A 24,922-nucleotide genomic window follows, 5' to 3' on the forward strand; every position below is an offset into this window, starting at 1 on the left:
AGAGACAGGGTCTTATTCTGTCGTCTAGGCCTCAGCTCCTGGCCTCAAGCGATCCTCTCCCCTCAGCCTCCCCAAGTATTGGGATTGCAGGTGTGAGCCAGGACGCCTACCCGCAAACAGAAACTCTTTACCCATTAAACAATAACTCTGTAGTATTCCTTCCTTCCTGCCCCTGGTAACCACTATAGTACTTTCTGTCTAATATGAATTTGCCTGTTCGAGGTGCCTCATATAGGTGGAATTGCATATTTGTGCCTGGCATATTTCATTTAGCACATTTTTTCAAGGCTCATCCATATAGCACGTATCAGTACTTCATTTCTTTTAGTTGCTGAATATTATTATTATTATTATTTTTGAGACAGAGTCTCACTCTGTCTCTTAGGCTAGAGTGCAGTAGCATGATCTCGGCTCACTGCAACCTCCGCCTCCCGGGTTCAAGCGATTCTTGTGTCTCAGCTTCCCGAGTAGCTGAGATTACAGGCGCCCACCACCACGCCCGACTAATTTTTGTATTATTATTATTTTTTAGTAGAGACAGGGTTTCACCATGTTGGCCAGGCTGGTCTTGAACTACTGACCTCAGGTGATCCACCCGCCTCAGTCTCCCAAAGTGCTGGGATTACAGGCGTGAGCCAACACGCCTGGCTGCTGAATATTATTTTATTGTGTAGAGTAATGTATTCATTCGTTGGTTGATAAGGCATTTGGGTTATTTTCACCTTTTGGCTGTTGTTCCAGATAATGCTGCTATGAGCATATTTGTACAGGTTTTTGTGTGGAAATATGTTTTTGTTTCTCTTCGGTATATAGGAAAAGAATTACAGAATCAACTCTGTGCTTAACCATTTGAAGAACTGGTTTTCTTTTCCAAAATGGCTGCACCATTTACAGCCCTGCCAGCAGGTTATAAAAGTTCCAGCTTCTCTGCATCCTTGGCAACATTTGTTATTATTTTTTTATTATAGCCACTCAGGTGGGTCTGAAGTATTTTGTCGTGTTTTTTATTTGTGTTTCCTTGTTACTGATATCGTTCAGCATATTTCCATGTGCTTATTGCTCATATGCATATGTTCTTTGGAGAACTGTCTGAGATTCTTTGCTCATTTTTAACTGGGTTATTTCTCTTTTTATTGTTGAATTTCAATGGTTCTTTATATATTCCAGATACAAGTCCTTATCAGTTACATGATTTACAAAAATTTTCTACCATTCCCATTCCTTGAGTTGTCTTTTCACTTTCTTGATGGTGCCCTTTGAAGCACAACATTTGTGTGTGTGTGTGTGTGTATTTTTAGTAGAGATGGGGTTTTGCCATGTTGGTCGGGCGGGTCTTAAACTCCTGATCTCAGGTGATCCACCCACCTTGCCGGTGAACCACCACAGCACCCGGCCCGTTTTTGGTTTTTTTGTTTGTTTGTTTTTTGAGCCAGAGTATTGCTCTGTTGCCCTGGCTGGAGTGCCGTAGTGCCATCTTGGTTCACGGCAACATCTGGCTCCCGGGTTCAAGTGATTCTTCTGCCTCAGCCTCCCGAGTAGCTGGGATTACAGGTACACACCACCACACCCTGCTAATTTTTATATTTTTGGTAGAGACAGAGTTTTGCCATGTTCCTCAGGCTGGTCTCAAACTCCTGAATTCAAGTGATCCACCCGCCTCAGCCTCCCAAAGTGCTGGGATTACAGGCGTGAGCCACCACTCCCGGCCAGAAGCACAATTTTTAATTTTTATGATGTTCAGTTTATATTTGTTTTTCCCTTTGTTGCTTGTATTTTTGTGTGTCTTAATATGTCTTCTAAGTCTGTTTTAATGGATGGATTCTCCCCTTCCTGCCTCTCATTTATCTGTTGAAGAATTTTGCCTATTTGACCTGTAGAGTTTCCTATGGTCTGGATTTTTCTAATTATGTTCCCATGGTACAGTTCAGCTTCTCTCTGTCTCTGTATTTCCTGCAAATTGGCAGCTACACCAAGAGGTGTGATCAGATTCTGATGTTCAAGGGCTTTTGTCTATCTTACAGGCAGTCAGTATGCTATTATATTAGGAGACACACAATGTGTGGTTGTGTCTCTGTGATATTATTTTAGTAGCTTTGATGCTGAATGCTGATTAGGTCTTCATTGGGGTTTGCAAATGTATGATAGTCTAATTCTGTTATCATTTGTTAGCTGACAAACTTTTGTTTAAATTTTATTTTAAAAATTAATAAAAGCAGGGACAGGAGGATCGCTTGAGCCCAGGAATTGAAGACCACCCTGGTCAACATAGTGAGACATCATTTGTACAAAAAATTAGAAAAATTAGCCAGGCGTGGTGGTGTCAACCTGTAGTCCTGGCTGTTCGGGAGGCTGAGATGAGAGGATTGTTTGAGCCCAGGAATTTGAGGGTTGTGGTAAGCTCTGAGCATGCCACTGCTCTCCAGGGCAAAAAAGAAAAAAAAAAACCCTAAAAATAGAGCTTTTGGGGATATACAGTTCTATGAATTTTAACACATCTATAGATATAACAAACTACAAGTCATTATACAGAGCAGTTCAGTCACCGGAAAACCTCCTGCTATCCCTTTGCAGTCACACCCCTACTTCACCCCAACTCTGGAAACCAGCAACCTGTTTCCTGTCACTCTAGTTTTGTCTTTTTGAAGTACCCTCTTGAGACTGTGTTATTTAGCATTATGCCTTTTGAGGGTCATCCAGGTTGTTGCATGTGTGAAGAGTGTTGTCCCTTTCTGTGGTTGATTATCATTCCATTGGATGGATGTGCCAGTTTTTTATTCGTTCACTTTTAGAAGGACTTACGTGTTGTGTCCAGTTTTTGGCGATGATGAATAGAGCTGCTCTATACATTCATGTATACATTTCTTGCTTGCACATAGGTTACATTTCACCAGCTAAGTACCTAGGAATGGGATTACCAGCATATTCCTACAGTGCTGTATGCCTTTTAGTTCTCCAGGGAATAGGAAAGACAAGATACATGCTTGTTCTCTCCTTTTACTGGCAGTTTTTAAAAACAGACTGTTTCTTAGAGCATTTTCAGGTTCACAGCAAAATTGAAGAAGTACGAAGAGTTCCCATATCCCCCCAATCCACATGTACATAGCCTGCCCCACTCTCAACATCCCCCACTAGAGTGGCACATTGTTTCCAATTGATGAACCTATGTTGACATGTCCTTATTACGCAAAGTCTTTAGGCTTCATTAGGGTTCACTCTTGGTGTTGTACATTATATGGGTTATATTATATATTAAATGCAGAGTGATGTCTATTCACCATTATGGTATCATAGAGAATAGTTTCACTGCCCTATAAATCCTCTGTGCTTTCTGCCTATTTATCGCTCCCTCCTCTCAACCCCTGGCACTGATCTTTTTACTGTCTTCATAGTTTTGCTGTTTCCAGAAATGTCATATAGTTGGAATTGTAACAATTTTAAAAATAATGAATTTGGTTCCCTATCTTCTCTGAAGGTGATTTTCTTTCCTTTTTGTTTTTTGAATTGTTATGAACTCATTTGTTGGGGTTCAGTCCATTGTAATTCTTACACCTGTTAAAGCTCAAATTGTTCGTTTTTGGCCAAGGGCAGCCTCTTCTGGTAGGCTTCTGAGTCCTTCTAAAGTGACTCATAGTCTGTGATTTGTCCCCTCACTACCTTATAAAATGAGACTTTCCGGGAACATCTTTTACAATTTCTGCCTCACACCTGGAATATCTCCAAGAAGCCTTGGGTTTTTTTCAGTGGGAAATGGTATTTCAAAACCACTGCCAGGACTGTTGGGGTGTTCTAATGCTTATTGCTACTGAGTTAGTCTTCGTTTCTAATTCTAAGTGGATAGTGCTGGGAGGTACTACCCTCGGAATCCTGGTTTTCAAGGACATAGGTGTGGTAGAATATTTGATAATTACTCGTTTATTTTGTCACATATTATGTCTCTGACAGTTACAAAACAACAATACTAATATATCCACCATGGGTTGAAACCAGTTAAAACCATTCTTTGCATGCGCTCTCCATTTCCCCCCATTCCCTGTGCAGTTGTCTTCCATATATCACCAGGGCATGTTGCCATTAGAACGCACACCCATTATGCGCCCTTGTATTCTGTTCCTCTTCGTCCCTGTGTAGTCGACAGGTAACTATTTAGCGCTCACCTCTATTCCTATGTCAGTATCCCTCTATCTACATGGGTTCTCTCAAACTCATTTTCTAGTAGATATCTCTAGAAGGGCTTATGGGAACAATATTCCCTGAGTTTTTGTATGTTGATAATATGTATAATGTTTATACTCGAAAGTTCTACTGGCCATAAAATTCTTGGCTTTCATTTTCCTTCCTTGAGTATTTTATTTTCTGGTATAATATGTTGCTTTGGAAAGTTTGTTGTTAATGTAGTTTTTTTCCCTTATAAATTACTTGATGTTTTTGCCTAGATGCTCAAGTTTATTTTTTCCTTAAAAATCCTGCAATTTTACTATATCTTGGTATTGATTATTTTGGCCCAGTATTTTCCAGTATGCAATGTGTGCCTTAAATATGTAGTTTCTAATTTTTTTCTGGTGTCCTGGCATGTCATCCAGGCTGGCCTCTAATTCCTGGGCTCAAGTGATCCTCTCGCCTCAGCTTCCCCAATGCTGAGAGTATGGGCTGCATTAGCTCTTTTTTCTTAATTTTGGCAAAAATTTCTTGGATTACAGTTTTTAGTGTTGCTTGTTCTCCTGCTTTTGCTTTCTCCAGGGATTCCTGTTATATAAGAAATAGGAACAATTTTTGTTGCTTTCTTTAGAATCCTATTATTTCATCATTTCGTTTTTGGTTTTTAGAATTATCTTCCTTCTTACTTTCAATTTCTCGAAGGCATTATCTGTAATATTCATTCTTGTGTTCCTTGGGTTTTATTCTTCATTTCTCAAATAAATTTTTAAATTTCTAATTACTTACTGAGTCATGTTCTCACATTTCTGAGTTTCTTCTGTTCTGATGTTGTTTTTCATGCTTTATATAATTTTCTTAATGTTTTTAGCTCATTTTGAAATACTAATAGTAGGTTCTAATTTTAATCTCCTTTGTGTTTCTGGCCTTCTAGCATGATGTATTTGTCTGTAAGGAGGATGTTGTTTTGTTGTTTTGTTCCCGATTCCTTCACTGTTTTTTTTTGTTTGTTTGTTTTTTTGAGACGGAGTCTTACTCTGTCGCCTGGGCTGGAGCGCAGTGGTGCTATCTCGGCTCTCTACAACCTCTGCCTCCTGAGTTCAGGCAATTCTTCTGCCTCAGCCTCCCGAGTAGCTGGGACTATAGGTGCGCGCCACCATGCTCGGCTAATTTTTGTATTTTTAGTAGAGACAGGGTTTCACCATATTGGCCAGGCTTGTCTTGAACTCCTGACCTCGTGGTCTGCCGCCTCGGCCTCCCAAAGTACTGGGATTACAGGCGTGAGCTACCATGCCTAGCCCCTTCCCCATTTTCTTATAATAACTTCTATGAGATTTGGATCTGAAAACTTTGCCATGGGTCAGTTTTATTGGAAGTTCATTTTCCTGAATGTTTGGAAGAAAGCCTAGTGACTCAGGATAGCATTTCTAATTTCACAGAGTTATTTTTCCGTTATGAAACACAGATTGCCTTTGAGGTCTCCTGTTTCTACTACTGCCCCTCACTTTTATGTGGGCCTCCTCTTTCCTTTGTTTCTGGAGAACCTTTTCCTGTTCAATTCTGTTTTAATTTTCAGCAGTTTTTTTTCTGTGTGAGTGAGGCTGTTTCCTAGCAGGGAGGTCTGGTTGGTCATTTTCAAGTTCATCAGGGCTTCATCAGGGCTTGTCCACTTCAACCCTTACGCTATAGGCCCTTTGCACCATCTGCATCTTCAAATGTGCCCACTGTTCGTTCCAATGAAGACTTGTTTGTTATTTGGCTTGTAGAGGGACATGGAAGAAGCAAATCAGTCTTTACCTCTCTCAAGGCTGGAGATTTGCAGGCACTGGTTTTATCTGTAACTGGAGATGAGAGTTCAGGCCAAACACTGGTTTAAAAATCTGTATATGAAATAGCGATACCCTGGAATCTAGGACTGAGATCCTGTGCCTCACACCCACCCACGCGGCCAAGTGCCTACCTGTGGCAGTGACTTCTTAGTGCTCGTCCACATCTAGGTCTTCTTTAGTCCCAGGCTGATGGGAACATTTAATTCCTTTGCTCCTTGATGTTAGATGGGATCAGGTGACTGATGCTGGCCAGTGGACTTTGAGGGAGGTTGTGTTACTTCTGAGTTGGCATAGTGAAAAGCCCATGAAGATGCTCTGCTCTCTTTCTTGCCTAGGATATCCCTGGTCATAGGATTCATTTGATGCAGGAACAAGGTGGTCAGCCTGGCTCTTTGAATAACTGGAAATGGCCCCTGCATACCCGTGTTGGACATATTACATGAGGCAGAAATAAATTTCTGTTGTGCTAAGCCATTGAAATGTTGGGGTTGTTACCACAGCATCACTTAGACCTGTGCTGTCTAACATGGCAGCCACTAGGCTACATGTGGCCATGAGCACTTGAAATGTGGCTAGTCCTAATTAAGATGTGCTGTAACTTTAAAATAATACTATATTTGGAAAAAAAGGTGTAAAATATCTTAATAATTTTTATATTACATATTAACATCTTGTATTCATTGGGTTAAATAAGATGTATTGAAATTATTTTCAGCTTTCTCTTTAGTTTTTTTCATGAAGCTGCTTAGAAAATTTAAAATTATACACGTGGTCACATTTGTGGCATTATCCGCAGCACTGACCCCTACCTTAGTAATTCAGTACCCCTCCCTCATTTTGACAAAAGCTGGTCAGTTGATTGTCAGAGAAACTGAATCAGTGAAACTCCAGATTTGAAGAGAGTACAGAAGAGGAGTACACTACAGATGGGGATTAAGCGAAAGTCGACCTACTGGATCAGGAGATACACTTCCTTGTCTTTAATTTCTGTCCATGTCCTTTTTCCACTTGTTTGCAGAGCACTGACAATTGGAGTTATACACTTCACCTAGGAGACTGAAGGACTCTTTTCTAAGAAATCGAATGGCTTCAGGAAAGAGATCAACAGAGCCCGATATTTAAGGCTCTCCGTATCTGCACAAGCAGGAGTTACCCTGCAGTAAAGCCTGCTAGTTCACAAGCCTCACCTACATGCAGAGAGGGTCCAGTTGGGGTTGACGAACCACTCTTTATGGGAACAGCACCCAAGATACACCAGACACTGGTGGAAAATTCTAACAGGAATTAACTTGTTAAGGGAAAGATAATAATAATATGAGTCTATGTGCATATTATCAGTGATCTGTTTGCATATTAAATAATTCAGATAATGAAAGTACAAGTGAAAAAATGAGTCTTTGCGATAAAGCTCTTCTCCAGCCATCCCCATTTCTACAATATTTTTTTCCAATTTTTAAAATCAAGGTAAAATATACATACCCCAAATTTATCATTTTAACCATTTTTAAGTATATAGTTCAGTGGTATTAAATACATTCATAATGTTGTGCAACCATCACCACCATCCATCTCCCATACTCTTTTCATCTGGTGAAGCTGAAAATATACTCATCTTGTAAAGCTGAAATAACAACTCTCCCTTCTTCCCTTTCCCCATCCTTGGCAACCATGATTCTACTGATGTCTCTATGATCTTGACTACTAAGTACGTCATATAAGTGGCATCATTTAGTATTTTTCTTTTTGGTGGCTGGCTTATTTCACTTAGCATAATGTCTTCAAGGTTTATGTTGTGGCATGTCTCAGAATTTCCCTCCTCCTTAAGGCTGAACAATACTCCATTGTATGCATATACCACATTTTGCTTATCCATTCATTCATCCATGGATACTTGGGTTACTTTCACATTTTAGCTGTTGTGAATAATGCTGCCATTAACGTGGATATGCAACTAAAAGAGTACTGTAAACAAATGCCAACAAATTGGATAACCTGGATGAAATGGACAGATTCCTAGAAACACAAAACCTACTAAGACTAAATAATGAAGAAACAGAATATCAGAATAGACCTGTAACTAGTGAGGAGATTGAATGAGTAATCAAAAATCTCCTGACAGAAAAGAAAAACCCTGGACCTGATGGCTTCACTGGTGAATTCTACCAAACATTTAAGGAAAAACTAATACCATTCTTCAAGTTTTCAAAAACAAAAAAAACTGGAGAAAGAGAACCCTTTCCAACTCATTCTATGAGGCCAACATCACACTGACACCAAAGTTAGACAAAGATACTACAAGGAAACTACAGATAATACTTCTTAGGAACGTTGATGCCAAAATCTTCAATAAAGTACTAGCAGAGTTTCCTCTAATATTTTAAGAAGTTTGCTGAAGTGTGAATAGTTCTTTGATTAATATTTTTTCGAGACGGAGTCTCACCGTGTTGCCCAGGCTGGAGTGTAATGGCATGATCTCAGCTCACTGCAACCTCTGCTTCCCGGGTTCAAACGATTCTCCTGCCTCAGCCTCCTAAGTAGCTAGGATTACAGGCACCTGCCACCATGCCTGGCTAATTTTTGTACTTTTAGTAGAGACAGGGTTTCCCCATGTTGGCCAAGCTGGTCTCGAACTCCTGACCTCGTGATCTGCCCTCCTCGGCCTCCAAAAGTGCTGGGATTACAGGTGTGAGCCACCGTGTCCCGCCAGCTAATAATTTTAGGGAGCAGATGAAGAGGTCTTCAGACTGCTTTTAGCTCAGGTTTTTTTGTTTTAAAATTTATTAAGTGGAAAGAAACATGTTAACTGAAGATTGAAGTTTGCTGAAGTATGAATAGTTCTTCGGTTAATAATTTTAGGGCGCAGATGAAGAGGCTTTCAGATTGCTTTTGTCTCAGGATTTTTTGCTTTAAAATTTATAAAGTGAATGGAAAGAAACGTTAACTGAGGATTAGTGCTAGTTTTTCTTGACAGGTCATTTCCTATAGGGAGGGCAGTAGTATAAGCAAAACAACAAAATATTCAAAATTCTCAAATAAGTACTATTTATTATTGAAAAACTCAGATAAATGTAGAAGTTATTTTTTCTCTCTATTGAGCAGCAGTTACATATGCTAGAATCATAGTTTGAATGATTCAGACTGTGTACCTGTGATCTGACATACCTGGATTGGAGTTCCATCTCTGCCACCCACTTTATTTGACTCCATAGAGAAATTACTCAAGCCCCTTAAGACAGACACTGAAATAGGATACAGTTTCCAAGAAGGCAAGATTTTTTGGATTTTTTTGTTGTTGTTCATTGCTGTATGCTGAGGTTTAGATTAGTTCCTGGGACACAGAACTAGCAGTCAGTAAATACGTTGAATGAACCCGAAGAATTCCTGCCTCCGAATTGTTTTGGGGATGAAATGCGGTAATGCATGTAAAGCATTGGGCATGCAAGTGAAGCCAGCCACGTATTAAACAGTACTCAGCTCTTACCTCTGTATCTTATATTCTTATTTCCGTGACTGTATCCTCACACATGAAGAAATGGCTACTTATTTATTATTATTATTACTATTATTATTGCTACTTATTTTTTAAAGCCACTTACATCTCTGGAGATCTCTGTATGTGTGTTAAAAATACCATGTTTTGTAACAATTGGCTTGTCTTAGAAAACTTTTCAATTATACAGAATTTGAGATCTTTACAACTTGAATTTTCTTTTTTTTCTTTTTGAGTCTCGCTCTGTCTCCCAGGCTGGAGTGCAGTGGTGCGATCTCAGGTCACTGCAGTCTCTGCCTCCTGGGCTCAAGCGATTCTCCTGCCTCAGCCTCCTGAGTACAGGCACGCGCCACCATGCCCAACTAATTTTTGTATTTTTAGTAGAGATGGGGTTTCATCATTTTGGCCAGGATGGTCTCGATCTCCTGACCTCGTGATCCGCCCACTTCGGCCTCCCCAAGTGCTAGGATTACAGGCGTGAGCCACCGTGCCCGGCCACAACTTGAATTTTCATAGCAAACTAGTTTTTATTGTCAAATTAGAAATTTATGCTTGAAGCCTAGTGCTTCTTTTGCCTATGCATCTCATCTAAAAGTAATGGCACTTATCACGTCAGCCTCATGGATTGTGGTAGTGGTTGTTATCCTTGGAATTACCGGTAGGGTAACAGTCTCCAGGCATACCATGGGTTCTTCAGTTATGAGTGGCATAGCTTATGTACATGTTAACTGTGAATAATAAACGATTTTTCCAACTTACTGCAATACTCTTATTTATGTCTGTAATGTGAATTGTCCAGAGGAGAAGTTGTGGTCAATTGATGATTAGGCTGATGGTTTCTGCTAGCTCTGGCAAAAGGTGAATCCAGTTGCTTTCTAGCACTTTTCCTACTAACCCTGCTTCTCACCCTGTACCTAATACCACATTTTTAGTTTAGTTTTTGTTTTGTTTTGTTTGAGACAGGGTCTAACTTTCTGACACCCAGACTGGAGTGCAGTGGTGTGATCATAGCTCGTCTGCAGCCTCCACCTCCCAGGCTCAAGTGGTTCTCTCACCTCAGCCTCCTGAATAGCTGGGACTACAGGATTATGCCCCCATGCCTGGCTGTTTAAAAATTTTTGGGTAGAGATGGGGTTTTGCCACGTTGCCATGGCTGGTCTCAAACTACTGGGTTTAAGCAATCCTCTTGCCTTGGCCTCCCAAAGTGTTGGGATTACAGGCATGAGCCACTGCACCCAGAATCACCTTTTTTTAGTTTGGAAGATGACATCTTTTTTTTTTTTTTTCTTAGAGAAGCTAGAGGGTACCAAATTAAAGTCTGTCAGTTTTTTCTGTCTCCACCTCAAAGATCACTGTATGACTTCTTTTCTTCCTTCTCGGCTGTTTCACACGAAGTTTTCCCTTTTTCTAAGGCTCAGTCCTTATCGTCTGAGACCTCCCTCTCATTATCCATCTCTCCATCCTTGACTGTTTCTAGTTCGATTGTAACACTGATCAAATCTCCTTCAAGTTCAAAACAAACCAGCAAAACCTTCCCTTGATACTGCCATTACCTCAGAGCTATGTACCGTGCTCCTTGCCCTCCCCCCGGACTTCTCCGGATGCTAGTTGATGCCTGTTTAGCACCTGTCACTGTTTCATATACTTCTTACTGGCCACTGCCTGGTTGGCATCTACCACTTCTCTGGAATCAGCAACCCCAATAGCAGATTTAACTGCTGGTTCCATGGTTTTTGTTACTTGTCCTTTTTTGCAGTGTTTTAAATAATAATCATCTTTTCACTTATTTTTTTAAAGAAGGTCATTTAAAAAAATCATCCTGCAGTGGAAAATTTGGAAAATATGGAAAAGTATAAAGAAGACAATTATCAACTGTAATACCAGCAGTACCTATTGTTAAGCTCTAGGGCATGTCATTTCCATCGCTCTCTTTTTAAATGCATTAAACAGAAAAGGATCACATGGTTATTTTGTGATCTGATTTTTTCTATCTTAATATATTGTGAGTATATTTCCAAGTACTTATTCTCGTGTGGCATAACATTTGTAGTTACACGAAGTGGCGGTGTTGAGACTGCCTTGGTTCAAATCCTGGCTTCAGTTACTGCTGCAGTGTGACCTGAAGGAAGTTACTCCTCTGGGTTTTAGTTTCCTCATCTTGAAAATAGTTATAACATTCTTACTAACTTCTAGGGTTGCTGTAAGTATTAAGTGAGCTAACACATAGAAATAATTCTTGGCACTTAATAAACATCAGCTGTTATTAACAATATTGTCTGACTGTACTATAATTTACATTATTTTTGTTTTTGCTTGTTCTGCCGTCATTAAGCGTGTTGTAAGACCATACGTGTCACTAAATCTGGGTGCACAACATGATTTTTTTTAAATGTGGATTTTTATTAGTAGGATTGCTCAGCTAGTGGGTACATCATGCTCATTGCTAAGTTGCTCTCTAGAGAGGCTGCATTTATACCTCCCAAGGCTGTACAGGAGACCATTAACTTCATTACATTTTTCCAAAAAACTTTATGCTATTGCCCACATTTTGTGCTGCTCCCTTGCTAAAAGTGAATAACAATATGATCATGTTGTTACCTCTCTCTTGCCAAAACGTTGACTTGATGATAAGGGGATCACTGTGACATCATCATTACCCACAGATGTTTCTTTTTTCTCCCCCCTCCCCCTCTCTTCTCCTTCCTCCCTCCTTTTGTTTCTTGAGACGGGTTCTTGGCTCTGTGCAGGCTGGAGTGCAGTGACACAATCATGGCTCACTGCAGTCTGGACCTCCCAGGCTCAAGTGGTCCTCTCACTTCAGCCTCCTGAGTAGCTGGGACAGCAGGCACGCACCACCACACCCAGCTAATTTTTGTATTTTTTGTAGAGAGGGGTTTTACCACGTTCCTAGGCTGGTCTCGAACTGCATGTTCCCAGGCTGGTCTCGAACTCGTGGGCTCAAGCGATCCACCCACCTCGGCCTCCCAAATTGCTGGGATTACAGACCCGAGCCAGCATGCCTGGCCTCACAGATATTTCTTGATCTACATTTTATTCATTATTTAGGTCCAACTTTAGCATGTGTCATGTATTTATATACAGGTTCTAAATCTTTCCATTTGAAAAATACTCATTTTTCTATCCAAAATGAATTCAATTTTCCTTTTTATTCTAGTCCCAGTCTGTGTATGAGTAAAACCCCAAGGACCCTGTATCCTGATTTTACTATTTTTTGTTAATGGTTTGAAACAGCTTTATTAAGATATAATTCACATACCATACAATTATTTAAAGGGCACACACTTCAATGGTTTTTAGTATACTCACGGATCTGTACAACCATTATCACAGTCATGGGCAATTGGTTCAGGATTTGGGAAGAAAACGTATGGCATTAGGATTAAAAGTACAATGTTTAGAGTCTGGCTGATCTGGGTTTAAATCCCAAATCTACCATGTATTAACTGTGTGACTTTGAGAAGGTTACTTAATCACTATGAGCTTCAGTTTTCTTTTTTTTTCCCGTTTTTATTTTTATTTTTATTTTTATTTTGAGGCAGAGTCTTACTCTGTCACCCAGGCTGGAGTGCAGTGGCGCGATCTCGGCTCACTGCAACCTCTGCCTCCTGGGTTCAAGTGATTCTTTGCCTCAGCCTCCCAAGTAGCTGGGATTACAGGCCACCATGCTTGGCTAATTTTTGTATTTTTAGTAGAGATGGAGTTTCACCATGTTGGCCAGGCTGGTCTCGAACTCCTGACCTCAGGTGATATGCCCGCCTCAGCCTCCCAGAGTGCTGGGATTATAGATGCAAGCCACTGTGCCGGCCTGAGCTTCAGTTTTCTTATCTGTAATATGGGATTACTAGTGGTATCTGGCTCATAGGCTTATTTTAAGGATTAAGCAAGATAATAAATGTATAGAATTTAGCACAGTAACCGGCACATAGTAAATGTTTGATAAATGGAACTCGGTAAATATTATTGCCATAATTTTGTTCTTAAATCAACCAGCAAGTGTTTGATGCTATTATTAGGCAATGTTATTAAATAATGGAAGGTGTTTCTACCAGTGATTCACAGTGTTTTCTGTATCCAGCAAGCTTTTAATACAGCTGCTTGTATTATTCTCCCGTATAAACTTCTAATTACTCTCTGAAAATACAGTTGGTTTCCTGTTGATAGAGAACAATAACAGTAGCTTACACTTAGTGCTTACTGTCTGCCTGGCACTGTTCTAAGTGCCATACCTATATTAACTCCTTTGATCCTCATTTTACAGATTGGGTACGGAGGAGGTTAAACAACTTGGTCAAAGGATTACAACAGTTAAGTGGTGGAGCCAGGATTCTAACCTTGGTATTCAGTCTGGCTACAGAGCCCATGCTCTTTCTTATCTTTATGTTCTTCTCTTTACTTCCTAAAGAATGGTAGATGCATTTCAAACATCCTGACATCTTGGCTGCTGAGGATTCTGTATGGAAAAGCACTATGAGGTCTTTAATGCTTGGTTGGAAGGAGAACTAAAATGAGCAGTTGTGTGTGCTGTGGGCATGGGCCTTAGGGCAGCTGTATATTTGTCATCTGGATCAGACCATACATTGGTGATCCTGCTTCACAACCATAGAATCCAGACCCTCCATGGGGCCATGACCAGCCACAAAGTATCCTCCCTGACCCTCCCTGTGGAATGCTCGTGTGAACTTGCACTACTCCCTCCTTGCATAGTATCAAATCCTGCGGATCCTTGGAAGGCCACCTTAAATTACTTCCCACCTGTGAAGCAGTAAACGTTAGTGCTCTTCGGTTAATCATCATGTGTGGTGGTATGACATTTGCAGTATCATCTGTTACCATTATTTAAATTTGAATATCTTTATGTCTTGGCTCCTCATGTTGATTACATGTTTCTTGCAGGCAGGGAACTATGTCTTAAATGTTTTAAAATTTGCTTTAATGGCCCCTGGAAATATTACCAAGGGTTGTGTGTGTGTGTGTGTGTGTGTGTGTGTGTTTCTTTCAGTCTCACTTGTCTGTCGATAATAGAATATCTCTGAAATTCAAACATACCTAGCCTCACAAACTTAGTCCCAAAGGTACATGCTGTGTTTTTGCAAGAAGGTGGGCAGTCCCTAGTTGGCTGTTGGATTATGTGCATTGTGTTGGGGTAGTAGTTGCTGCTAATTGCCTGTCTGCAGCTCCTCAGAACCTGTTGTTGCTTCCTTTTGAAACCTTCCTTGATTGCCCTAGTTGCTGCTCATCCTGCATCCAGGCCCCTCCCTTAGGCATGTGACTCACGGATTTAAAAGACAGTGCTGTACGGTAATTAACTACCTGCCTCTCATCACACAGAGATGAGAACTTAAATGTAGGCTTCCCATCTAAAACTTTCTTCCCTGTGTGTTTATCCACCCACGGACATGGAGCAGCGCTGTCCCACACCTGGCCTTTTGGAGGAAATATTGCTAGACTTATTTCTCCTGTTTGAAATCACTAGTTGGCATATTCGTGTACAAGGGATGGATTTTACATGGGTGCTCTTAATTGAAAATAATTTTATTTTCTGTAACTTCTAGAATTTTGTTAGTTTATTGATGCACACATATTGGGTGGGTGACAGTTGGGTTTTTTATGAAGATAATTTTAAGTTTTTAGTAAATAATTAAGTCAAGTATTACATGACAGTTTAATTGGACTAAATTCTGACATAACCTATACATCCTTAAGGTGACCGGTGGTTATCATTTTCTATGAAATGTAATTAGTTTTTCAGGAAACTTTGTCCACATAAAGGAATTGATTCCACCCTTACTACCTGCTTAGCAATCCTGAAAAATATTGTAAATATAATCTTAGAGTATGCATCATTAGGAAATAAATCTATTTTGAGAAATAAATTTTAACGTACACTATTAATAGGACATTTAGAAATGTAATTTTCTAAATATATTAGAAATAATAGGACATTTAGAAATGACATTCTTTTTTTTTTTTTCCTTGCTTTTTGTTTGTTTGTTTGTTTTAAGACAGGGACTCACTCTGTTTCCTAGGCTGGAGTGCAATGGCGTGATCATTGCTCACTGCAGCCTCAACCTCCTGGGCTCAAGCGATCCTCCCACCTCAGCCTCTGAAAGTGCTAGGATTACAGGGTTAGCCACCAGCACCCAGCCAAGAAATCCCATTCTAATGTATTAGTATGGTTTTATCTATTTTAGCAGTGTAAAATAAAGTCTTTGTGAATTATATATAGTATAATTGAATTGCCAAAATAAACATCCTTGCCCTCAAATTGCTTATGATATTGTTTCTGAAGCACAGACATAATCTTTTGACCTTTTAAGCAAAAAATTAATTTTTCATTTAACTTTTTTTGTTTGTGTGTGTGTGTGTGTGTGTGTGACAGGGTCTTGCCCTGTTGCCCAGGCTAGAGTATAGTGATGCAATGATGGTTTACTGCAGCCTCAACTTCCCAGGCTCAAGTGATCCTCCCACCTCAGCCTCCTGAGTAATTGGGACTGCAGGCACGTGCCACCATACTTGGCTAAATTAACATTTTTTTGTGGAAATATGGTCTTGCTATGTTGCCCACACTGGTCTTGAACTCACGGGCTGAAGTGATCCTCCTGCTTCAGTCACCCAAAGTACTGGGATTACAGGTGTGAGCCATCGTGCCTGGCCTTTCATTCAACTTGTAATTCACAATTTCCAGAAAAAAAGTTTTAAAATTACTGATGGAGGAAAGATCTTTGGGACTTGCTTGTAAATATGTTAATATTTGATCTTAATAAGCTCTGTCATACTAACACTGTTTATTAAACTTTGTGGTAGAATTACTACCCATAACTAAAGAATGAAATGCATATATTTGCAAATTGTTAAAAATTTATAAATCGATAGAAAAGTTGAATGAATAGTGAACACCCTTGTGTCTTTCACTAACTCAGTGGCTCACTTGCTAACGTTTGCCTCATTTGCTTTCTCTGTTTATAAAGACATATATACTTTTTTTATTCCCCTGAGCCATTTGAAAGTAAGCTGCAAACATCTTGACATTTAACTTCTAAACATTTTAGCACGTGTATCCTAAGAGCAAGGTTGTCTTCCTGAAGAGTTACATTATCATACTTAAGAGATATAGTATTAATACAATATTATCTAACATGTGATCCCTATTTAAATTTCATTTATTTTCTTCCCCAGAACAGTTCTTTATAGATGTTTTAATTTTTGATCCAGAAACCAAGGGAAAAAATATATCTATATCTATAGAGAGCTAAATAGATCTATATTTGATCCAGAAACCAATCAAGGAAACACACACACACACACACACACACACACACCCGCTTTTGGCTGTCATATTTCTTTAGTTTCCTTTACTTTAGGATAAGCCACTACCCCACCTCCATCTACCACCCGGCAGTGGTCTTTTATGAAATCTCATCATATTTTTCCTTTTCTTATATAAGCAGTCCCACAATTTGCTGGTTATATTTCATGCCTAGATTAAAATAAGAATATTTTGGAATGAATATACTATATAGATGGCATTAATTTTCCATTATATTACATTAGGAGAAGTAATTTTTTTTACATGTTTTTTTTCCGCTGTATAATAGTTTAGTATTTGTTTTAATATACTTCTGTTAAAGATTTGTGATACTGTGTCTTTAAATTTCAAAATAGAATTTTGTAATTTACTCTTAATTTTCTTAGTATGTTGTATTCCAAAATTATAGAAAGTGCTATAATAGACATTTATGTACATTACATAAAGTAATAGACATTTATGTAATGTGGGCATAGATTTAAATTTTTTTTAAATTGTTAAAATATTAACATTTAACCATGTCTGCTTTAGATAGGTTTAATCTTACAAGGATCTATCTACTTATCTTTCTATCTATTTATAATGTATATATCCATTTTAAATAATAATAACAATACATGAATAAATCTGGTCCAAACTTCTATCTTGAGAAATGTAACAGCAATTTTGAACTCCTTCATCCCTCAAGACAATTATTCCTCCCTTCCCAGAGGTAACCATCCTCCTAAATTTGATGTCATTCCCTTAGTTTTTTCTTAAGTTTTACCACATTTGTGTTGTCCCTTTAACATACTTTTTTTTTTAAGCTTTTCCTGTTTTTGAGCTTTATACATATGGAATTATTCTGTATATATTCTTCTTGGGCTTGATTTTTTTATTTATATTACAATTTTGAGATGTCATTTATGTTGACATTGTTAGCCGAAGTTCATTAATTTTTCACTATTTGATATAATATTCCAAATTACTGGAATATGGAATATTCTATGAATATACCACAGTCCATTTTACTGCTGCTTGACACCTCGGTTTCACCTAGTTTTTGGTATGGAAAAAATACTGCTTTAAATATTCTTTTGCGTGGCTCATGGTAGCTAAGTACAAAAGGTTCTCTAGGTTATATGCATAGACCTGGATTGTTGAGTCTTGGGTGTATACACCATCAGCTTTACTAGGTATGGCAGAATGTCTTCTTTTACACAGTTGTGGAATAAGCCAGATGAGTTCAAGAGGAGCAAGTTTGTGAGAGGATGGACAAGTGAGTTAGTGAGTTACATTTCATTTGTTTTGAGTTTTAGCCTATTTAGTTAGAAATGTTAAGTAGGCATTTGAGATGTGTTTACTTTTTTAGCTCCACCCATCTTTGTTTTTTCCTAGGTTGACTCATTCAGGTATGTCATCTCTCCCTTCTCCTTAAAGTGGCCTTTAAAGAAAAAAGTTGCAGGCCGGGCACGGTGGTTTACACCTATAATCCCAGCACTTTGGGAGGCCAAAGAGGGCGGATCACAAGATCAGGAGTTCAAGACCAGCTTGGCCAATATGGTGAAACCGCATTTCTACTAAAAATAAAAAAATTAGCCGAGCGTGGTGACACGTGCCTGTAATCCCAGCCACTTGGGAGGCTGAGGCAGGAGAATCACTGGACCTAGGGAGGTGGAGGTTGCAGTGAGCCGAAATCGTGCCACTGCACTCTACCCTGGGTGACAGAGTGAGACTCTGTCTCAAGGAAAAAATTGCAGTATCATGGTACAACAATTACTTGATCGTAATAGAAGATGTGTTCAGTTTTTATATCTTCAGTCTCAGGCCATCCGTCATATGCAGCCTTTTTGTTTTTATAGACCTTGAACCACAGAACTACATTAAGCTAGTTTGCTGTTTTCCAGGGATGACATAAAGGAGAAGTGGGTAGAGGGTGATGCTGTTATTAGCAAGTGTGCATTCCAGGTAGCGGTTCACAAAGGGGAAAAAACGTAAAGGAAAGACGGGTGCAAGCTAAAACAAATAAGCCAGTAAGTAAAAAACCACAACACTCTTTTGTGATTATTTAGATCTGAAACAAATAGCAGCATGTATTAATAGTCCCTGATGATTTCACTGTATTGTAGCATAACTCTGGTATTCATAATGTCAATTCTGAATTTCTTTATGTGTTGAGAGAGTGTAATCATGCTGATTTTAGCAGATCTGGTGAACCCTTAGCAATCTAGAATCACTCTCTGATAATTCCTGAATTAACAGTAGAAATTTAACTGTTTTATGTGGTGAAATTATTCTAGGAAGCTTGTTCCATGGGACATTTACCTATTAGCTAATAAAACAAATGGTCTATTGATAATTTCTCAAAAGCTCTGTATAAAAAAAAAATATATATACAATAATTTCTCTACTGGCCGAATTGGATTTACTTGGAAAAAGAAAGAGGGTGTTATCAAAAAATTTAAATGTCTTGTTAGGTTCGTAAGTTGTAGAACAAGAATGAGAATGTGCAAGTGTTTTTATGCTTCATTGTTGGGAAGGATAAATTGCAAAAGAACATAGAGCTGGGTGATTTTCTGGGGTTCAGTCTGTTGCGGGTGCCACAGATTGGCACTCCCCTCGGAATTGCCACACCTTCACGGAGCCAGAACAGGAGGGATACGGAGGGAAAGGGCCCTTTCCCAACTTCAGACTGAGCACCCAGAAGTTGACCTGGGACTGCTGTTTTGTTTCTAGGAAACTAGAAACCTTGGCAGAATTGAAATTTCGTAGTGATTTTTTCTTCTTTGCTCTCCAAAAAATAAACTTGTATGTACACACATATGTATATACACTCACACCTACATAAAAGAAAGATAATTTCAAAGAAATAATATATCTCGTATAGTCCTTGAACAGTTATTTTACTATTCAAAGTAGGTTCTTCAAAATTTTTAATTTGAAATAACTAGGTTTACAGGAAATTGCAAAAAATAGTAAGGAGAGGTCCCTTGTGCCTTTCACCTTTCCCTTAATGGTAACTTCTTACTACCCACAGCACAGCATTAAACTAGAAATTGACATTGGTACATTTTATGTGTTTAGTGCTGTGCTGTTTAAACATATATGTAGTTGATTTGTGAACCACTGTGGCATCAAGACACAAATGCTGCCACCACCAAGCTCTCCCTTGTGCTGCACACACCTGCCCCATGGCAGCCAGTAATCTGCTTTTCATCTCTATGATGTTGACATTTCGAGGATATTAATAAATGGAATCACATAGTATGTGACCTTTTAAAATTAGCTTATTTTCACTTGGCGCAATTCCTTGAGATCTATCCAAGTTGTGTGAATCAACAGTTCTTTCCTTTTTATTGCTGAATAGGATTCCATGGTTTGTTTAACCATTCACCTTTTGAAAGATAATCTCTTTCCCTAGTTTTTGGCTTTTAACAGTAAAGCAGCTGTGAACATTCATGTTCAGTTTTTTGTGTGGACATAAATTTTTATTTCTTTGGGAGAGGTGCTGTTAAAGAAAAAAAAATTATTCAGTGACACTTGTTAAAGCATGGGAAGGAAGACATTATTCAGGATCATCCCTGTAAGTGTAGGGACCACTACAATAGTGTCTTACAGTGGGTGGGGAGAGAGCGTGGCCTCAGTGCTGGATGTAGCATGGGGAAGTGGGAATTTGTAGCCAAGGAGCTGGTTGAGGGCCAGTGGATGGAAAATTCTCAAGAGGAAATGTCAGGTGTAAGGGGTTTCTGCCTAAACTGACCGTAACAGGATTCTTTCTTGCTGAAGACAGGCCAAGGTGATCAGACATCAGCTGGAGGGTGGCAGAAGAAGAAGAGGGTAATCAGACACCTTGACGGGAGGTTTGCTAATCTGGCTTAGCAGGGTTCTTTGCTAAAACAGGAATTTACAAGGAAGTACACAGATAGGCCTGGGAGAAAAGTTCAGGAGCCTGGCTCATTTGGTCAAGCAAAGAATCTTTGCCAGAGCCCAGGGGTGTGCAGTTGGTGGCTTACCTGTAAGTAGCTGTGCCATTTTACATGCTCACTGGCAGTGTATGAGAGATCCAGTTTCTTCACATTCGTGTCCACATTTGGTGTTGTCACTATTTTTTTATTTTAGCTGTGCCAGTAGGTGTGCAGCATAGTTTGGTTTGCGTTTCCCTGATGTCTAGTAATGTTGACCATATCTTTTCATGCGCGTATTTGCCGTCTATATATCCTCTTCAATAAAATGTCTTTATATTTCTTGCCCATTTTCTAGTTGAAATTTTTTTCAATTGTTGAGCTTTGAGATTTCTTTATATATCCTAGATGAGGCTTTTATCACATATATTGTTAGCAAATATATTTTCCTAGCCTGTACCTCATTTTTTTGCCTTCTTAAACAGGTCTTTTGTAGAGCAAACATTTTTAATTTTGTTGAAGTTCAGTTTATCGTGTTTTTTTTTCTTTCATGGATTGTATTTTTGGTGTCATTCCCCATTCCCCATTCCCCACTCTCCAGCCCCAGACGGCCACGAATCTACTCTCGGTCTCTGTGAAATTGCCTATTCTGAATATTTCCTATAAGTGGAATCATATGTCTGGCTTCTTTCACTTAGCATATATTCAGGCCTCATCCCTGTTGTATCATGAACCAGTTCTTTTTATGGCTTCGTTTATTTTTAAGGTTGAATAATGTTCCACTGCATGGATAAGACCACATTTTGTTTAGCCATTTGTCAGCTGATCGGCAATTAAGGTTGTTTTCACTTCTTCGTCTGCATCAGTACAGCTGCATGTGTACCCTTCAGCCCTGCACCTTCCTTATACACGATGCACAGATGTACGCATGCGAGTACTTGTGTGTACGGTTTTGTTTTCTTTTTTAAATAATGGAGGATTAACTTATTTTATAGTTTTTTTCTTCGATATTTGGGATGTCTTTTTATGTCTATATAAAAAGATATATCTCATTATTTTAAATGACTATGTAGTGTTTAATGTGACTGCTTAATTGATCCTATTCTAATAAACATTTAGATGACATTGGGTAACTTCTTGTTTTTCTTTTTTATATAACAGTGGCACCAGGCACAGTGGTTTATGCCTATAATCCCAGCACTCTGGGAAGCCAAGGCAGAAGGATCACTTGAGCCCAGGAATTTGAGACCTGCCTGGGCAACATAGAGAGACCTTATTTCTACAAACGAACAAACAAACAAAAAATTATCCAGGCTTGTTGGCACTTGCCTGTAGTCCCAGCTACTTTGGAGGCTGAGGTGGGAGGATCACTTGAGCCCAGTAGGTGGAGGCTACAGGGAATTAGGATTACACCACTGCACTCCAGCTTGGGTGACAGAGCAAGACCCTGTCTCAAATAAAAAAATAGTGACACTAATCATCCTTGTACAAGTGTCTTTTTTGGTGCATAGCTCATTTTACCTACTTTTGGATTTTTCTCTTCAATGCCATTTGTCATTAACTTATTTAGAAGTGTATTGATTACCTCCTATAGGCCAGGCACTGTACTGTGTATCAGACACTAGGGACACAAGCACTAGTAAAATGCTATGGCTATACTCAAGTTTTTTGTAAAGATGATATACCTATAAGTAGGTAATCATGGTTCACTGTGATAAGTGCACAATGTGTTATTACTAGAATCCTGTGGAACGAACTGTAGCAGAAGGTAAGGCAGGTTACGTTAAATAGATTGAAAACAGATTATAGCAGTCTGTGAATGCCCTTCTAATGAATTTGGACTTCATTTTGTACATAATTAGAAATCATTGAAAAAGGCCGGGCGCGGTGGCTCATACCTGTAATCCCAGCACTCTGGGAGGCCTAGGCGGTTGGATCACGAGGTCAGGAATTCGAGATGAGCCTGGCCAAGATGGTGAAACCCTGTCTCTACTAAAAATACAAAAGTTAGCTGAGTGTGATGGCACATGCCTGTAGTCCCAGCTACTTGGGAGGCTGAGGCAGGAGAATTGCTTGAACCCGGGAGGCAGAGGTTGTGGTGAGCTGAGTTCGTGCCATTGCACTCCAGCCTGGGCGACAAGAGCGAAACTCCGTCTAAAAAAAAAAAAAAAAAGAAATCATTGAAAAAATGTAGGCACACTTAAATTTTTTAACTTTAGTAAATTTTTGTGCTGTGACTGTTTTAGAACACTTTATCACCTCCCACAATCACTGCCTTCTACCTCCTCATCTAGGCAACCACTGCTTATTTTCTGTCTCTAAATTTGCTTTTCCTAAACATTTATGCGTTGGAAACATACAGTATGCAGTATTTTTACATTGGCTTCTTTCATCTAGCGTGTCTTTGAGGCTCATGTATGCTGTAATGTGTATCAGTATTTTGTGCCTTTTTACTGCCTAATGATATTCCATTCTGTGGTGATGACAATTTATGTGCTCAGCAATTGATGGATGTTTGGATTGTTTCCAGTTTTTGGTTATTATGAACAAAGCTGCTATGAACATCTGTAGATAAATCTTTGTGTGGGCACATATTTCTCTTGGGAAAAGGAAATTTTGGATCCTGTGATAAGTTTATATATAACTTTAAGAAATTAGGGCATGGTGGCTCACGCTTATAATCCCAGTGACTCGGGAGACTGAGGCGGGAGGATTGCTTGAGCTCAAGAGGTCAAGGCTGAAGTGAGCCATGATTGGGCTACTGCACTCTAGCCTGGACAACAGAGTGAGACCTCACCTCTAAAAGAACAAAGAAAAAAAATTTACAGACTATTCCTCAAAGTGACTGCATCATTTTACAGTCCTGTCAGCAATGTATGCGGGTTCCAGCTTCTCCAGATGCTCGACACTTGGTATTGTCTTTTGATTATGGCCATTTTAATGGCTGTATAGTGTATCTCATTGTAGTTTTAACTTGCATCTTCCTAATGACAGGGTGTTTATAATCTTTTCATGAAGCATAGTTATATTTTAGAGACATGAGTCCAATGAATAGAGGTAAGAATGGAGGTGAGCTACATGAAAGATGAGAGCCTACGTCAGACAATATGTGTAGAGATGGGGAGACATTTTAAAGATACGTGTATCAGAGCTAGAATGAGCAGCATTTAGTAACTCCTGAGTATAATAGATGAAGCAGAGGGAGGTGGGGCTTGTGATCCCAAGATTTTAAACTTCGGCAATTGGGCACTTTTTGGCTAACGGTGCTGCCATTAGCCAAAAAGTGACTGCCGGTACATAAACAGATTTTGTGCTGGTGGTTGATGGCTTTTATATTGATCTTATTCTCTTGATGTGCCACTGGAATAAACATTTAATAGAGTGTTTGGAAACATGTATCTAGTTCAAAAGAAGGATCTGGGCTGAGGTATAAATTTAGGGCAGTTTACATTGTGTAGGGAACAACTAAATTCATGGAAGTAAATGATGTATCTGTTCCTAAGTCACCCTATCTGCTGAGTTACTTGTGACAAATTGTTTAAACAGTAAAAGAATTTAATATGAAAAGATACACGTTAAGATGATTCTAGGATTAATTCATTCAGGCATGACAGCATCACCAAGGACCCAGGTTCTTTCTATCTTTTAATGCTGCTGCTGTTCTTGATCTGTTGGGTTGTCCTCATGGTCCAGTTCTTGTTTACACATTCAAACCCAGAATTGCATGCAAAAAGGCTGGGAGCATGTGTTTTTACCTGGGTCTTTTTTCATCAGCCAAGAAAACTTTTCCTAAAAGCTCCCTAGCAAACTTACTTTCTTGTCTTCTTGGCCAGAATTGCATTAGGAATGTGTTACCAGACTACCCACTGGCAAGGGGAATGGAAATTGTCACAGTTGGTTCAGACCAGAGCTTTCTAGCCCAAGTATTTTTTTCTGTTATCTCTTCTGGAAGAAGCCTTTTCCCCTTGCCTTTTGAGTCTCTTCTGTAGTTCAGGTAAGTTAGATTTTCTATGCAACCCAGTTTTGTATCATTGAGTTGTTACTATTCAATACTTCACAACAGCAAATACTTGCCAAAATCCTACACTGTGTCATGCTGGATTCTAGGATACAGAAATGAATAAGAAACTTGTAGTTTGACATAGATACAAGCTTAAACAGAAGAGTGCTATGATAGATTTGTACACTAAAGTTCTTTTGGACTATGGATTTAGTACAACTGTTTATATGTTTGGTTTTATGA

At 39.2% G+C, this 24,922-nt stretch overlaps 1 protein-coding gene across 36 annotated transcripts in view; it reads left to right on the forward strand.

Moving 5' to 3' along the window:
* Window positions 1–24,922, forward strand: part of BMPR1A (bone morphogenetic protein receptor type 1A) — a 177,082-nt gene that overhangs the window by 53,868 nt on the left and 98,292 nt on the right. Inside the window, exon 1 of one of the 36 annotated variants that reach the window (XM_047425680.1) lies at window positions 1–24,673. The exons of the other annotated variants lie outside the window; for them this stretch is intronic. The gene's annotated coding sequence lies outside the window, so the exon portion shown is untranslated. The remainder of the gene's footprint in view (window positions 24,674–24,922) is intronic. 36 annotated transcript variants of the gene reach the window in all.

This window comes from Homo sapiens, chromosome 10 (assembly GCF_000001405.40).
Source record: "Homo sapiens chromosome 10, GRCh38.p14 Primary Assembly".
NCBI lineage: Eukaryota > Metazoa > Chordata > Mammalia > Primates > Hominidae > Homo > Homo sapiens.